Source organism: Homo sapiens, chromosome 16 (assembly GCF_000001405.40).
Source record: "Homo sapiens chromosome 16, GRCh38.p14 Primary Assembly".
Taxonomy (NCBI): Eukaryota; Metazoa; Chordata; class Mammalia; order Primates; family Hominidae; genus Homo; species Homo sapiens.
In genome coordinates this window covers 52,083,065-52,100,579 of record NC_000016.10, presented here as the reverse complement: position 1 = coordinate 52,100,579, position 17,515 = coordinate 52,083,065, and the positions used below count along the sequence as shown (strand labels likewise).

General features: G+C 39.1%; 2 long non-coding RNA genes across 2 annotated transcripts; one reads left to right on the top strand and one right to left on the bottom strand.

The window, feature by feature from the left end:
* Positions 1 to 1,512: 1,512 nt before the first annotated feature.
* On the bottom strand, positions 1,513 to 15,299 carry LINC02180 (long intergenic non-protein coding RNA 2180). Its single transcript, NR_104655.1, has 3 exons — positions 15,174 to 15,299; positions 5,507 to 5,621; positions 1,513 to 2,280 (listed from the first exon to the last, which is right to left on the bottom strand). It is a non-coding gene; the product is annotated as a long intergenic non-protein coding RNA 2180 (long non-coding RNA).
* Positions 15,300 to 15,470: 171 nt separating this feature from the next.
* On the top strand, positions 15,471 to 17,515 carry LINC00919 (long intergenic non-protein coding RNA 919). The gene is made up of 3 exons (NR_038233.1): positions 15,471 to 15,514; positions 15,756 to 15,867; positions 16,014 to 17,515. It is a non-coding gene; the product is annotated as a long intergenic non-protein coding RNA 919 (long non-coding RNA).

Here is a 17,515-nt window from a genome sequence, read left to right as displayed (position 1 = left end):
TATGTATCCATAAAAATGAAAAATTTAAAAATCTAAGTTAAAAAAAAGACAAAAAAGAGTATGCATTTTTGGCTGGCTTTGATTGTTTCAGTAATTCAGGTATCCAGTTGTGGGTGTCTATGAATCTGGATAAATAACTCTAAAGGTAGATCTCCTCAATCCCTGAAGTACGGTATGTCTTAGCCCTGAAGGGCACAGGCAGTACTTCCTAGGTATGAACTCAAGCTCTGTCACTTAGCAACAGTGTCAGTATACACAAGTGGCTTAAACTTTTGTGCCTCAGTTCTCTCATCTATGAAATTGGTATGCAGATGAGAGAACCTCTCTTATAAGCTTGTGTAATGATTAAAGGACTTAATCATGGGTGTAAAGGTCTTAGAATAGCGTGCTTGGCACTAGTAAGCACTCAGTAAATATTAATTTTTATTGTTATCAGGTGGGACTCATAAAAGTTTTCAAGAATAATTATATGATTCTGCTTGGGATAGAGAAAACAGTGGTTTCTCTTTGGATGCCTTCCAGGATTTTGGCTTCTCTCTAGAGCAGTGAATCTCAATCTTGGATGCACATTGGTATCACCTGGTGTCAAAGTATAATTTTCAAAAGTTGAAAGCTTGAATCTCATACAAATGTACAATGACTACTTGCCAAAAAGTTATTTAATTCATTTAAGGAGGGAGCCAGCAGGATAAGTTTCAACTGGTTCAAAGAGAACTAGAAAGACCAAGTAGACATAGGTCCTGAAAGAATGCTGAAATAAGATTGCTAGGTGAGATACAAAACTGGTTAATGTTCTATGGAGCAAAAACCCTGTAATCTTGGAATTAGACAGAAATTATTTGCAGCTCTACTAGTGAAAAAAGTATTTGCATTGTTATTGTACCAGAATCTATTGCATTGCTATCAGACTTTTCCAATAGTTGTCAAACTTCAGCACGTGTCAGCATCACCCAAGAACTTGTTAGAATTACACAAACACAAGCTCTATTCTATTTGAATAAGCTTGGGCCTCTGTTTGTTCTGCAAGGCAACATCTGCTTTTACAGAGTTGTGTAATATCCTAAGTAAATATCCTACTAAATAGTAAAATAAATGAAGGTACATTCCCCTAAAGAATTAGATAGTCTTTGGGTAGGCTTGTTAGACAATCTTCCATCATGACAGTGAACGGCTATGTAGTCATCTCTTATCTCCATGTTTTTTTTTTCTCAATACTGAGTTGCAATTAAAAACAACAGCAACAAAAAACACATACAAAAAAAACTACTTATGGCTAGGTACCACCCCTAGCTTCTGACTAATTGAACTTAAGTGTGATTTAGGAATCAAGGTCATAAAATTTCTCCAGGTGATTCTAATATGCTGTCAAGGTTGACAGCCTCTGGTCTTTAAGGTTGCTTCATTTCCTGACTGCATTCTCTATTGTACTCAGTGTCAATAACATAATATGTGCTCAATATTATGTATTAAAGATTTAATAAATTAAATAAGTACAGACCAATTTGAAATGGCTTGAGTTTCAGTAGGCACAGATTTATTTAGCCAATCTTCAATAAAAGTGGACGCTTCCACAAGGATGGTTACACCCCCCTCAGTTACAGGAAGACAGCAGAGACTTCTCCAGTTAACATTCTTTTATGACTGGTACACCATTCACTTCACTGTACCCAATTTACAGGTCTCTTGGATGTGGCTAAACTATCTCTTCCTTCCCACCTGTTCTAGACAAAAATTTTTTTTGTCAAGCAAAAATCTTATTTTTTTCCTGGAACATAATTGAAATCTTAATCATTCGCAAAAGTCTTAAGAGGGAACCATCTTCAAAAGATAAAAATAACACTTTTTTTTTGCTTCTGCTTTACTCTCAAGACCTCGAAGGCTGTCATCATTACCCAATTTTTTTCCACTCCAGGATTCTTGTGTCTTCCCCTCAAGGTGCAGCTTTCTGTATGGCATTGCTCTAGGGAGTCAGTAAGGTGGGTGGTTTAGGAGATGGACCCCTCAGCCACCATTCCTTTATCAAGATCATTCTTAAGGAGCCATCAGTCTTTTCCTTTGGTTGTCTTTACTTCATTCTTCTCCTCTTTGCTTTTGCTTTGTCATTCTGTAAGCAGGAGTGAAAATTATCTTCACTACTGTCACCAGAATTCTTTGGCTGGGAGGAAGCTGTTTGATGTGGAAAAATAGCATCCCTAAGTGCCTGGATTCAAAATGAGACTCTGAGGGCATGGGAGTGCCTAGGACTTCGGCAAAGTCAAGGTAATAGCTGAACTCCTCCACCTGCAACAAAGAAAGGAATTTGTTTCTGTTCCTGAGAGGAAGGAGAAAAGACAAAGAGGAACAGAGAAGAGACAGGGTGATGGTGGAAATCTGGGTGCAGCACAAGGCTGAAGAGCTACATAAAGCCTCTGGTGGCAGAGAGGCTGGGAGATGTGTGAGAACAGGCTGGCTTTGCTCATTGCTCTTGGCACTGCTGTGGCATGAGTCCCACATCTTTGCAACCCTACTCTCCACCTCTTCAGTAAAGTTTGTTTCGCACGTACGTGCCTAAGGTGAATATATGTGCTTGTGTAAATTATAAAAAGTAGCATAGAATTTTATGACTGGATGAAGGTAACAGAGTCAACATACATGGAAATTATAGCCAAAGCCAGGAGGAAACTTTGCTTGTGGAAACCCTGGAGAAGGCTTTGGATGTATTGAGGTACTAGAATGAAGTTCAAGGCAGTTCTATGTAGGGTTACACTGAATTCACCCTTTGCACAATGATTTAATGGGAGGATAAAGAGTAAATAGATCTCTACTAGATACTATGCAGGATTCCAAGACCATCCAGAGACACCTTACCAAGGACAGGCAAGCTAGTGGAGGTAAGAGACACATACAAAGAGCTAAATCTTAACACCAGGAAGACTGTATCTTAGAAATGCAAAGAATAAGTTCAAAGTAAAAGAGATCTCTTCCAATTACGGAGACTGTGAAAACTACATGAAAAAAAAAATGGTTCCTGAGCTAAACTTTGAAAAATAAATAGCATTTAGATATGGAGATGGGAGAATAATAATAATAACCACCACCATCATCATCACACCTATATATTAGATGGGGAAAATATATCTGTGTAACCACCACCCCCATTAAGATACAAGATATTTATTGCTTTAGTTTCCTTATGTCCCTATCCAAGTGAAACCTCATGACCCTTCACTCCAGAAAAACACTCTGATTTCTGTCACCATGAATCAGATTTGTACATTGTGCTGAGTGTTTACTTGCATTATCTCATTTGATCCTCATAAAAGCCCTTCAATGTAAATAAAATGAATGGCTCCATTGTACAGATGAGAGGCCAGACTTGGTTTAGTAAGTAATTTGCTCCAAATCGCATAGCTAGAATTTGGCAAAGCTGAAACTTGAACCCAAAGCTAATTTTAAAGCCCAGATTCTTATCTAATTCACAGAGAAAATAACATAAGCAAGATGAAGAAAACTATATACTATGTATGGACAATAGTAAGTAATTTGGTTACAGTATAAGGCATATGAGGAAAGTAAAGTTTAGCTAAAATGTTCTGGTCTTCTATGGGTCTCTCTTCCATCCAGAAGAAGTACTGTGTGTGTCTGTAATGCTCCCACTTATAATAACTCTGACCCTTAAACCTGCAGGCTTCAATCACCTTGTAGAAGATTTTTACATGTCAAATAGTGTTCTATTTATGAGGCACAGGATAACTCCCAGGTGGTCCTGTTAAATAATAAGTGTTGACTTCATAGTATTTGCTGTTATTTATACATATGCATGTACACATTTGTACAGAAATAAATACACATTGCACACATGGGCATCTGTGCTGAAGTATGCAGCCAAGTGTCAGCACATTATCAGATTTAAATTAGCTGCCTGACTCTATTAATAGCCCTGGTTTTCCAGTTTTTGAAATAAAAGATCCCAGAACAGCTGGGCTAAAATCTGAAACAGAATGGAAGAATACAACCCTGTAAGCAGTAGTAGTCTGTCGATAACTGCTAAATAAAGTTTGTTGCTTCATAGGTTTGTGCAGATGCCTATAAAACAACCCTTGAAATGCTAAGTGCTTTTTAAAAACAGCATAATCTTCAACCAGTGAAAGGGGTTGATTATGTCTTATCAATCATTTTGAAAACCTCACTGACATCCCATTAAAATTTGAAAGCAGGGCTAAATCCAGGAGCAGATAGTGTCCATGCAGGCCACATGGCTTCATGAAAGGGCAGCAAGAAGATTTCTACCCACTTATCAAAGTTTCTTTCCTGCCAGTTTATTATTTCTGGAATTCTACTATTCAACATTTGGACTTTTAAAATGCAATGCTGTCTTAGTTCATTTTGTGTTGCTATGAAGGAATACCTGAGGCTGGGTAATTTATAAAGAAAAATGGTTCTGTATGGCTGTATTAGAAGCAAGGCACCAGCATCTGCTTCTGGTGAGGACCTTAGGAAGCTTCCAATCATGGTAGAGGAGGAAGAGGAGCCGGTGTGTAGCATGGTGAGAGAGGGAGCAAGAGAGAGAGGAAAGGGATGCCATGCTCTTATAAACACTCAGCTCTCTCATGAACTAAAGAAGTAAGGATTCCCTCATTACCACAGGGACCACACCAAGTCATTAATGAGGGATCCACCCCCATGGCCCAAACACCTCCCATTATGTCCCATCTCTAACACTGGGGATCAAATTTCAATGTGATATTTGGAGGGGACAAATATCCAAACCATAACACAATTCAGTTCAATGTCCCTTCTACAATTTATCTCTTGACTCCCTCAGTACTACGTGCTCCTACCTCACTGCTTCCTGAACGTGTAGGACACAGTACTTTGCTCTGCCACTTAGTTCATGCTGTTGACTAACCTGTATGTCCTTCCTTCCTCTGCCTGGCAAAATGCCAGTCACTCTTTAAAGCTCATCTCAAAGCACCCCTCCCATGACATTCACAAGATCCTCCTCCACTGTCTCCCTACCCGCCTAGGCAGAATAAATCATGTCTACCCTGGTCTTCCCATAGAACTGTACTTTTTTTTTCCTTTTTTTTTTTTTTTGAGATGGAATCTCACTCTATTGCCAGGCTGGAGTGCAGAGATGCTATCTTGGCTCACTGCAACCTCCGCCTCCTGGGTTCAAGCGATTCCCCTGCCTCAGCCTCCTGAGTAGCTGGGACTACAGGCACGTGCCACCATGCCTGGCTCATTTTCTTTCTTTCTTTTTTTTTTTTTTTTTGTATTTTAGTAGAGATGGGGTTTCACTATGAGGGCCAGGATGGTCTCGATCTCCTGACCTCGTGATCCGCCCATCTCAGCCTCCCAAAGTGCTGGGATTGCAGGCGTGAGCCACCGTGCCTGGCCAGAACTGCTCTTGAACTATGGTGACAAGTGTCACATCTTTTCATGGCATACATCTCTTGCTAGAGTGAGAGCTCATATCTACTATGGCCTTAAAGAGTGACCCTGGGGCTGGGAATATTGGATTTACCTGGGAGACAGAATATCAGCATTTCAGGCGCTTTCTAGATCTTCTGTATCAGAAACTCATTTTACTAATATCCCAAGGTGGATTCATATAGACAGTAACATTTGAGAGAGCCGTCCTAGAGGACAAAGAACATGACTTAGTGATCCTGTTCTCCATCACAGCACCAAGCAGGCTATGTATTCATTCAACAAATAGATGCAAGGGACCACATGCTAGACATTGTATTAAGAGCCAATGATTAAAAGATGACCAGGACATGAAGCACATAAAATTATAGTTACACTTTCAGTTAGAGGTTAGAATTCCATAGATGAAGTAAGAAAAGGCCAAGTCAATTGAAAGCTTTGAAAAGGCTTTATGAGTCTGAGAAACACAAAACTGGAAATTATTCAATAGGTTCCTTTACTGTGGGACATCTCAGAGCACTTGAATCCATTTGCGTCTTGTGACTCTACAATGTGTGTGATGCCTCAAACTTATTTAATCATAAAAGGTATTTATACTTTTATTTACTTACTTACTTAGGCATGGCCAATCTTGTGGGACTATTTTTCAAAACATACATTGGAAATCACTAGTCTACTCCCACATGTTTGGATTTCATTTTGTTTGGCCTGGTGACAGTATTTGTAATGTCTCCCATAGTGAATGAAGTATTGAACACCTAACATTTTTCTCAACCAAGTTGTAAACTCTTTAAGAAGAAGGGAGAATATCTTATACTTATTTGTTTTTCTACTCCAGCTTTCACATTGCTACTCAATCAGAATTTGCTGAAGGTTGTCCTGTGTCTGCCTTGCAATCAAGCAAAGCATGAAGCCATGGTGGATTCTTGATTGAGAACAAACTCTACGGGGTTTAACATAGTAAGGAAGACACTCGAATGGGGGTTGTAATCCTGGCTCAGGTCCTAGCTGTGTTGATTTTGAGCTGGTCACTTACCCTCTCTAGGCCCTAACATTTATTTCATGTGCCAAGCATGGCTACTGTGTGACCAGGTTCTATGGTGTCAGGATCTGCAAGTTTACAAGTCTTCAATAGATATGAGGCCAGGTGCGGTGGCTCACGCCTGTGCGGATCACCCTAGGTCAGGAGTTCGAGACCAGCCTGGTCAACATGGCGAATTCATGTCTCTAGTAAAAATACAAAAATTAGCTGGGTGTGGTGGTGGGTGCTTGTAATCTCAGCTACTCAGAAGGCTGAGGCAGGGAGAATCACTTGAATCTGGGAGATGGAGGTTGCAGTGAGCCAAGATCGTACCATTGCACTCCAGCCTGGGCAACAGAGTGAGACTCAGTCTCAAAAAAAAAAAAAAAAAAAAAAAGATATGGATACAGGTAGAGAGGTTAGAATTGAATTTTATGGAAAATTCTGTACTCTGCTTTTCTGAAAATAGTGTTTGAAAATTAGAACCAATATTTTAGGATGATTTATATGAGAGCCATTCCAGAGGCTATAAGATGCATACAACATCTTCTAGAGAGAGATTTTTCAGGCCTGATATTATTTTATCTGTAAAATGGGAATAATAACTTTGGTTTCCCTTTATCATTATTCATTTGGAACTTCAATAAATCTGAGAAGATTTAGCCTTACTAATTTTAAAAGTAGCTACTAAAATATAAAATTAAACTATAACCACAACAACAAAATGTTGAACATGCATTGAATTCTAAAGTATTATTAACACAAGACTAAAAAATAATACCATATGCTTATTTAGCATTGGTCTTCCAAGCTGTTTAAAGCACTTCACCTTGGTTACCTGAAATATTCATATCCTCATTTTATGGATGGAGGAACAGAAGTGAAGATGTGAGCTAGCTCACTGAAATACCACCGATGTCCTATTCAGAGCTGGGCATTGTCCCTGGGTCTCAAGGTCCCCAGTCTGGCCTTTTACCCACCAAGAGATATGCAAAAGAATTTTCGTTTTGACCTTCAGCCTGGTTGATAACAGCTGTCTTCCCCCCTGAAATATGTGTATATGCACTGTGAGTTGCATATTTATATGATTTCCTGAAACCTGCAGATAAACAATGATCATTGGAAATGGCCGGTGTGCTTTGGCAGATTTGAAATACTGTAGCACTTAACTAAGTCCGAATGCTTCTCATGATAAGCAGCCTTCACTTACCTGAAATCGAGGGCCATGATTAACTGGAAATTGGCTGGTATTAATTATGAGGCATGCCCCATAAATCTCTCTGCTGATGGGACCCTGGGCAGGTCTGAAACCAGACTAGGTCTTCGGGGGAATTGAGTGGGGAACACGCAGGAGAGCCTGGTACTCTCCTTCTCAGTCCATATCTGCCTCCTAGTTCCTAGCAGCCCCTATTGCATGTATTTCAACCTCCATTTCCATCTCGGTGAGGTTATGTCCAATGTGATTGTACCTTCCCCTGGCAGGGCCCACGCACCAACCTTGCTCGTTTATCTCCCCCTTGGCCTCCAACATCAGAGTACTTGTAGAGCCTTATAATGTGCTAAACATTAATATTCACTAACTTGCTCCAGGGAGCTATGCTTCGCCGAGCGCATTTTCACCTGAAAGGAGTTGTTTAATATAAACATTTGGTTAATATTCTGTACATTTGAAAGTATTTTATCAGCATTGGTGTAGGACCAAAAGTCATTTAAATTCAATGGGAACTGATTATGCGCCAAGAACCAGTCCTTTGCAAAAGAGTGTGTTTCCCCCCTAATATAATGTATAAATTATCAAACTCACTTACACGGTTGATGGGAACACTTTGTGGACAAACCTGCAGGCCTGCATTTCTTCTGACTGAGTATTCATCAGCTCTGATGCTGGTGTTAAATGGGGAAAAATATTATACAATATTGCTTTAAAAACTGTCTAAATATAATTATCAACATCTCTGGAGTGATAATAATTATCATAACAAGACTTCATCAGAGGAAACACATGGTTTGACGAGGATCCTCTACTCTCGAGTTACTGCCACCTCACAGAAGAAGGATGCAATAACATTTCTCTTCTTCTTTACCTCTCTAAAGAACCCTAGCTCTCGGAACTGTCTTTTGGTCAATTTTTCTTTACATGTGTCTCTGTGACACTCATTACCCCAAAGAATTGTTAGGTACACAAACAAGCAGATCCAATAAGGGTTGGAATAGATAAATGAAAACTACATTCCTATGTGTCTACTGAGATTTATTTGAATTACATTCCAAATTTTTAGTTAAAGTTTTCACAAGAAGTGAAAACTATCACAAGAAGTATTCACTATCAGGTCCATAACAGAGGCCCATATGACAATTTGGTGCTAATACGACCCTTGGAATAGGTAGGGCTGCACAGCAACTTCTGCTCTCTTCTCTTTTTGCTATGGAATCAGTTGACTTGAAGCTGAACATATGGTCCCTGTTGGATACTGATTTTTCTTTTAAACTGGAAAATATAACTTACTGGAGAGTAAATTGAAATATGTATATGTGTATATATATATACATATATACATACACACACACACACACACACACACACACACACACACACACATATATATTTCTTCTTCAAGAGCTTACGATCTGGTTGATAAGAACAGTTAGATGTCCAATACTTCATTCACTATGGCAGACAATACAAATACTGTCGCCAGACCAAACAAAATGAAATCCAGATATAAACTTATACGTACACATAACAAATAAAAATCTGTGTGGCCACCAACTGCCTACTCTTCTTGATAGCAACTCTCTCCCCCCACCCTATCAAGTTTACTATGTCCTTAAGTGTAACTGGAGTTTGTTCATTTTCAATGATGATAAATGGATTTTTGGGCCAATTGTCAATAATACTGATAGGCATTTGGGAAATTTCTGTTTGGGGCTATTACAAGCTATGGTGCTGGGAGCATCCTCATTGGTGTAAATAGACAGTTGTACACACACCTTAGGGTATAATTGTTAGGTAAGAATTTTTGCATTTCTTTAATTTTATTGGATAATGTGCAACTGTTTTCCAAAGTGTCGGCAGCAACTTTTATTCCTACCAGCAGCATATGAGAGCTCTGAATTCCCCACATCTTTAGTAATACTTGATGTTGCTGAACTTTTAAATTTGAGCCAAACTGGTGGGTGCATAGTGGTATCCTTCTATAGTTTTAATTTGCATTTCTCTGGATATGGATAAGATTAAACACATTTTTGATTTATTGAGATATGGATATGGATATTAAGATATGTTGAGATATGTATGTGGATAAGATTAAACACATTTTGACTGTTGGGAATTCTTTGGTAATGTGTCTCTTCAAGCCATTTGCCCATATGTGGAGTGGGCTGTCTGGTTGATTTGGTGACCTGATAAAAGAATAACAGCCCTGTTATTGTGTATATGTACAAAGTGCTCAGCGTTGCCATCTGCAACTTTTACACAATTTAACCATGGTAAAGACAAAACCATTATTAGTGTAGATTGCCTAGCTTAAGTCTGCTAGTTTGGATATTCTTACAGGTTTCCATAGTAAAGAAAATAGGAATTACTGAAGAGCACCATTGGGGCCATATCTCAACATCAAAAGTCCTTTGCTTGCAGTTGGAAGGGCTCTGACTCCCTCAAGGATCATTTAGATTGTTGTAGCAAGGATTTAATAATGCATACCATAAAGTTCCAGAAAAAAATAAATTTCTCTATCAGTGAATAGCCAACTTACTCACAGGACCTTGGAAGAATACCAAAAAGTAATCTCTTGAATACTAAAAACACTCATTAGTGCTCTGACAGTGGGAATATTGGCATCCTAATTGGCAACATAACCACATACATGATAGTCACAATGAGTCAGACCATGAAACACTCAGCCTGGAATTATTTATGGAGAGAGAGAGTTGGGCAAGAATATGCCCAACTCACCCTCTGAGATGCTGCTTCAAATGGTCCAGACAGTTTCAAACTCTAGAATTCTTCCAGGATTTATCCCCTACAGGTAAAAGCTTATTGATTCCATTGGTGATCCTAGAATTCACACATTCCCTCTGTGTGTCTCAAGTTCCAGCTCTCTAAGGTCATTGGCGACTCCAGTTGCCTCATCCTCCCCCAAAGAATGTGTCTCTTCTTGACTACAAATCTTTTAAAAAATCGCTTCATAGGCCATGTTTTAACTTATAGAAGACTGTATCTGAGTTAGATGCTGATTGGGATACTGGAGTAGTGGCTTCCATGTAAAAATCTTTTGCAAATATGTTGCATAAAGGACATGGCTATGGCATGTATTCACTGTCAGGCCCGGAACAGAAGCTTATATGACAACTTGGTCCTATTAGGACCCTTGGAATAGGTGAGGCTGCACATCTCCTTCTTTTCTCTTTTCTTTTTGTGATGGAATCAGTTGGCTTGAAGCTGAACATATGGCAACTGCTGTCATATCACAGAAACCATTCCCTCTGCCATGGCAACCAAAGAATCAATGCACACTAAGTAAGAGCTTGGGCTTACTCAATAAACACACAATGGCACAATGCATAGACATTTTGTTTGTTTGTTTTTAGAAGCATTTAGAATAGCTACAGATAATTAATATGTTTCTTTAAACACATTTCTCAAGTCTTTCTGTTAAGAGAGATACTTGGAATTTATGTATCTTGTTCTACTTCATTTCTGAAGCAATTTCTTAATGGAAACACATTTCATTTCCAAATTCAGGGATATTATTCATCCCTGAGTTCACTGGATTCAATTCTGTTTTCTCCCAAAGATCTTTGAAATTAATTCACCAATATGTTGTTGCTAAATTCGATACCCAAGGAATAGCACAGGGATCAGAAGAACTGTCCTGATGCATCTAATAGCTATAAACTAAATAATTTGGCTCAGGAGTGATGAGAATATCAGAGGCATGCATTCTGCTTAGTATTTTAAGGGTATGTGTTTAGTTTTGCTCCCGTGCCCATCTTGGTGCATTCTTTCCTTGCTCAGTTCCGAAGGATAATTGCAACCTATTGTCTATACCAAAGTAGTTCTATTACATAAAGGGTTGGAGGGGGAAGAAATATAAGGGGCGAAATTTCTGTGAGAAAGCATTGCCAGGCGCTGTTTCTTCAGGGTTTACATAGCCTCATTCCAAGAAAAAACAAACCAAAGTGTTGAAAGGAGCTATAACTGGGACTAGGAGGCATAAAAGTTTGGTATCCACTTCTATCTTACTTTCTTTGTCTCCAGCCCCTCAGACAGAGCTGGGTAGTAGAGACTGTGGTGCAAAGGGCCTTTCTGGATGAAATCCATGTTTCTTTAACCCTCGGCAGTGTGCTGTTTTCTCTGTGCATGCTCACCCGTTAGCATTTTAATCTAGCTTCATATGGCACTATTCTGCAGATGGATTTGCTTTCTTGCCTTTGTTTGTTGTATGAGTGAGAAACATGAGGGCATTTTCATGATTGGGAAAATGCCACGAAGTTGTAAAAATCAGGTGACTTCTTCTTGCCAAGCCCCAAGGAATGGGAAAGCAGAAATTACTCCAACGAGGACTGCAAATGTTCTCAATATTAAAATGCTCAGGAGACTTGATCTGATCAAATGAGAAGATCTAGTGGAGGCCTACAGACTCAGACATGACCCTGAATTTCTCTATCTGCTAAATGGGATGTGGCTCATCCGACTCTTCAGGAAGTCATTCAATGAATCCTTTCTTTAATATGGGCACCTCCTTCTTTCTGTGGCTTCTAAGCAGCACTGGGAAATAAGATACACATTTACATATTGCTTTGGTGGCATAATGGTGAGTCGATAGACTGTTCACTCTTATAAAACTATTTTCAAACATTGAAGGGTTTCTGTTTTATGACTTCATCACTCTTTGAGGTCTGTACATTTTTACATTTACCTGGTATTTCCCAAGAAATCGTGTATGGGTTGGGTCTATAAGTAAACAACCTCCCAATGGGAGACTTTAAGTAGAAAAAATGACCGTTTGGGGGATGAGAAGCAAAGAAACTGTTGATGAAAAGAGTCAAACTCTGTCAAATATTTTTAGAGATTTATTCTGAGCCAAATATGAGCCAAATATGCTCATGGCCCGTGACACAGTCCTCAGGAGGTCCTGAGAACATGTGCCCAAGGTGTTCGTTGTAAAGCTTGGTTTTATATATTTTAGGGAGGCATGAGACATCAAATACATTTAAGAAATACATTGGTTTTGTTCAGAAAGGTGGGAAAAAATGTGGAGGCTTCTAGGCTATAGGTAAATTTAAACATTTTCTGGTTGACAATTGGTTGAGTTTATCTGAAGATCTGGAATCAAAGGAAATGTTCAGGTTAAGATAAAGGACTGTGGAAACCAAGTTTTATTGTGAGGAGGAAGCTCTCAGATAGCAGACTTCAGAGAGGGCAGGTTGTAAAATGTTTCTTATCGGACCTAAAAGGGTGCCTAGCTCTTAGTTGATTGTCTCCTGGATCTGGAAAGGAAGGGGAAAAAAAACAAAGGGGAAAAGGGATTCTCTAGAGAATGTGGATTTTTCTTACGAGAGACTTTGCAGGACAATTTCAAGGTATGGCAAGGAAATATATTCTGGGGTAAAACATTTTGATTTTCTTCCTTGTTATGCCAGAGTCAGATTGGAAAGTAAATTACAATATACAGGGTTAAATAAAACCCATCTGATGAGAATTCATGGTTTGTAGGGCATGACTCCCCAGACCCCTTAGATAGGAATTTGGGCAAGATAAAATAAAAATCAGAGCTTAGTCCTCAAAACAATCTTATAAAGGTCATCTCTTTTCTATACAGTGTATATTCCTAAGCATTTGTATTTTGTTTTAATATTTGTTGAGATGTCTTCGGGTGATGTGTACAGTCTAAGTCATGAATAACCAGTACTTGTTCAACATACTTCCATTCACCATCCAGAGTTCATGAAAGACATAGCTAATCAAGCACAACACTCTTTCCTGCTGAACCACAACACAGTCTCAGAATATTTCTCAAGGTGACACTGCATGCAGACTCTATCAGTTGATCAGAGTTGCAATGCAAGATAAGATAACCTGCCCTCCTAGGTCTGGGCTCAGCCAGTGATGTGGTTCCTCTTCTTAGGATGAGTGGCCAGATATAGAAGAAAACCTTAGTCTGAAAGTTATAAATATTCAACTTTTCCTGCAGCTCCCTCCTCCTTCTGCTTCTAGTGAAGCATTCCAGATACAGCAGGGACACCTTTGGCAGGCAAACACAGTTTTGTCTGTCTCATTCCAGGCCACCACCTCCCTTATGTCCTTATGCCTTCTCTCTGCATTCCTCAAGGATTTGAGTTGCTTTCTCATGGTGCATCCTCTAATCCCTAATAAAGTTCTGGGTCCACAGCCATGGTAGGCAGAATTTTGAGATGCCTCTCACAATTCTTGCCCCCCTAGTGTTCGCGCTGTTTACTCTCATGATTAGGTTGCATACTATGATAAAGGTGAAGGGATTCTGTGGACGTAATTAAGGTCCCAGAGAAGTTGATTTTGAGTTAATCACAAGAAAGATTATCATGGATGGGTCTCATCTAATCAAATGAGTTCTTCAAAGGCCAGGACATTTATAAAGAAAGAAACAGAAATTCTGCTTGTCTTGAAGGATTAAACAGTCACATGCTAAACTACCTGTGCAAAGGGCCAAGTGACAAGAGCCTGAGAGCAACCTCTAGCTGCTGAGAGAAGTCCCTGGCCAACAACTAGCAAGAAAATGGAAACCTCAGTCATACAGTCACAAGAAAATAAATTATTCCAACAATCTGGGGGAGCTTGGTGGTGGACATTTATCTGGTTGGTCTCCAGATGATTATGTAAATGACCAACATCTTGTTTTCAGCTTTGTGGGTACCCAGCTAAAACATGTCAGGCTCCTGACCCACAAAACCTGTGAGATAATGAATTTATGGTGTTAAACCACTAAGTTTGTAGTCATTCATTATGTAGTAACAGAAAATGAAGGCACTAGATACAGAATTATCTACCTGACCCTTTCTATTGCCTCTCAAAACCAGCAAATGGTTTCTTTTGAGTGTCTTACTGTTTTTTCCTATAGGAAAATTAGCATAGTATAAGAACATGAACCAAACAGTGATAATATTGGGGGAATTAAAGAAATTTCACAAGCTCTTATGTCACAACACTTATTTCTAGTCCATGTGAAGACTAGAGATGGGATCATCCCTCCCACTCTTCTTCATTCCCCTGAGACAGACACTGCTAGTCCAAAGATGGAATGGGTGAAATCCCTGCCTTAGGAAATACCCAGTGGTGATGTAAGGTGAGACTTGTCTTAGAGGAAATCTTAACAGCCTCCAAGCCCTCCTTGGTGAATTCTCTTATTTGCAAGTGTTAAAGTGATTTACCCTGCCTTTTATTCCACTCTCTGCTCCTTTCTATGTATACCTTATCTCCCTCATGAAGGGGCACTGCTTTCTTCAAGGCATTTAGTAAGAAATGAACATTATTAATCATTTACAGTTTGAAAAGCTCCAGACAAGAGTCTGTTTTATCACTGTGTCATTCATTGCTTGGGGTAGCCAAGTTTAACATAAATAACTATCACAGAATTTCTTACAATGGATCAAATGGATCCTCTCCCTTTTTTTGGAAAAGGCTTTTTGAGTTATTTTTATTTGGGACTTTCATTAACTTATACTCTAAATTGGGGAATGATAATATAATAATTTTACCTACTTCATAAGGTTTTTGTGAAGATTCAATGAGTAAATACATGAGAAGTTCTTAGCACCATAAAGCACATAGCAGATGCTTAATAAATCTTAGCCATTATCATGGTGATTACATTAAATATCTAGTAGGCTTCCAGCAGTGTTCAAGACCTTCAAGAGGGCAAGCAAACATTCTTTTGTACCAGCTACGTATGTCACAATAGAGACCTTTAGGTTCAACATCACACTGCCCCTGGTCATTCAGCAGTGGGTGGGGCTTGGAGCCAGACTATAAATTGGGACAGCTGAGCTTGCAGAATCCAGACAACCAAACTCCATCAATCAAGAGGAACTTAATCCAGGGAGGTAGGGTAGGGGGTTGAGATCAGGAGCAGTAGTTTAGAAAAGTCTCTATTTTGGGCTTTTACTAGACTATTGGGGAAAGAAGGGGGAATAGAGTAGATGGTTATAAAATTTCAGAATCAAAAAAGTTTAATCTGAGAGTCCCAGTTGATGATGAATACCATGGGATGTTGGTATTGGGTACTTAGAAGAATGCCAAATTGGAAAGAATTATGGGCTTAGTCAGAGTTTCTTCTCTTTCTAGGCATGTAGAAGAGCCTATTTACATCATTAACTTGCCAACTTTGTGTATATACATGTGCAGACACGCATGCATAATATACCATAAGGCAGCATAACTGATAGTGGACCTTAAGGTATGTTTCTGTGTCCTTTCTATCAGTTCACAAATTACAAGTAGGCAAGAAGCGCTGCCTTAGACCTTGGATTTTCAGTTTTCTGCTGTTTGGTCTGTATGTTTTATATTTTTAGCCCTTTGAAAAAAATGTCATCCTTTTCCCAGGGTTCTTCTGCTCACTGGGTCAGAAGCATCCGATTTCCTGTCATCGGTTGCGGTTCAGCCATGTTAATACTGAAAGTATAAGAATATCATAATCCCAGAGTGATATAAAGACCTTTCCAAGGAAGATGAGATACCCGGAGGCTGTGAAGGAGAAGTCTGAAGGATTTGAACGCGTTCAAATGAAAACCTTTGGTTCAGCAAAACACCAGAAACAAATTCAAAAGATAAAATACACTCCGGAGAAGCCCATTCTCTCAACGCATCTGACAGTTCACAAAGAGCAACTGCAGTCCAACTTAAAAAATAAAGAAAATGGTAGGAAAATGGGCAACATGCACTGAGGCAATATATAAGAAGAAGGAATGCGCAATTAATCAACAAAAGCCTGCTCTTTCCTAACGAGTGAAGATACAAGCTTAGTAAATATTAAAATTTATTGAAGATAAAAATGGACACTTCCGGCCATATATAAAAGCATTGTTGGTAAGAGAGTGGGGTAATTGACATGCTCCTGGGAAATAATACGCATTCAGACAACCTCTAATGAGTGAATCCACTGGGGGTATCCACTAGGAATAGAAAACGACCACCAATGCCCAAGTTTGTGGTCCAGAATTTGAGCAGCGATCTAACAAAGTAGAGTCTCCCCCTGTGTCATGGGCCCCACTTCTTAAGCAAAGAAGAATGCCTCATTTTGGTAACTCACCCAAATAAACAGAAATTTTTTTTGATAATCTTATCGCATTTATTTGGTTAAGTCTGAGGCAGAATATTTTTCTCCTTTGTATCTTTGTTTTGTTTTGTTTTAATCCTTGAAGTTTATTACCAAACTACATCTTGGTGTTTCTTCAGGATGTGAACAGGCCTTTCTATTCTCAATTAAGTGTTTCTTTCCTTTAATTCAGGAATCTTCTAATCATGTATTTTAATTTCTTTTTCTGTCATCCCTCCCCACGCCATAAGCTACCAGTCACTATACATGTTGGAGCTCTCTTTATTGTGCCATAGATCTCTGATGTCATGTCTTTAGTCATTATTTTGTGTCAGAAATTTTTGTTCTTCCGGGGACATCTGGCAATATCTAGAGACATGCTACTGGCACCTATAGAAATGCTAGTGACTTATTATGGGTAGAGGCTAAAGATGCTGCTAAATATCCTACAATGCCCAGGACAGCCACTGCCACAACAAAGAATTATGCAGTCCACAATGTCCATAGTGCTAAGGAGAAGAAACCCTGTCCTAGGGTCAAGGTTGGATGCTGACAAGACTAATTTCAAGTGATTTCAAACGATTGTGGGGAAAATACCCAGAAGTTGACAGGAGCAATATGTAGATATTTCCTTCTGTAAATTATATTTCCCTAATGCTAATGCTGGAGCATTTGGAAACACGTGTATAAATATTTGAAGCACAAAACCAGAGAGATGCTCTTATGTATTTAGCTTCTAGTTTTAAATAATAGATACTACAATAAACCTTGATTAAACCTTGATTATCTG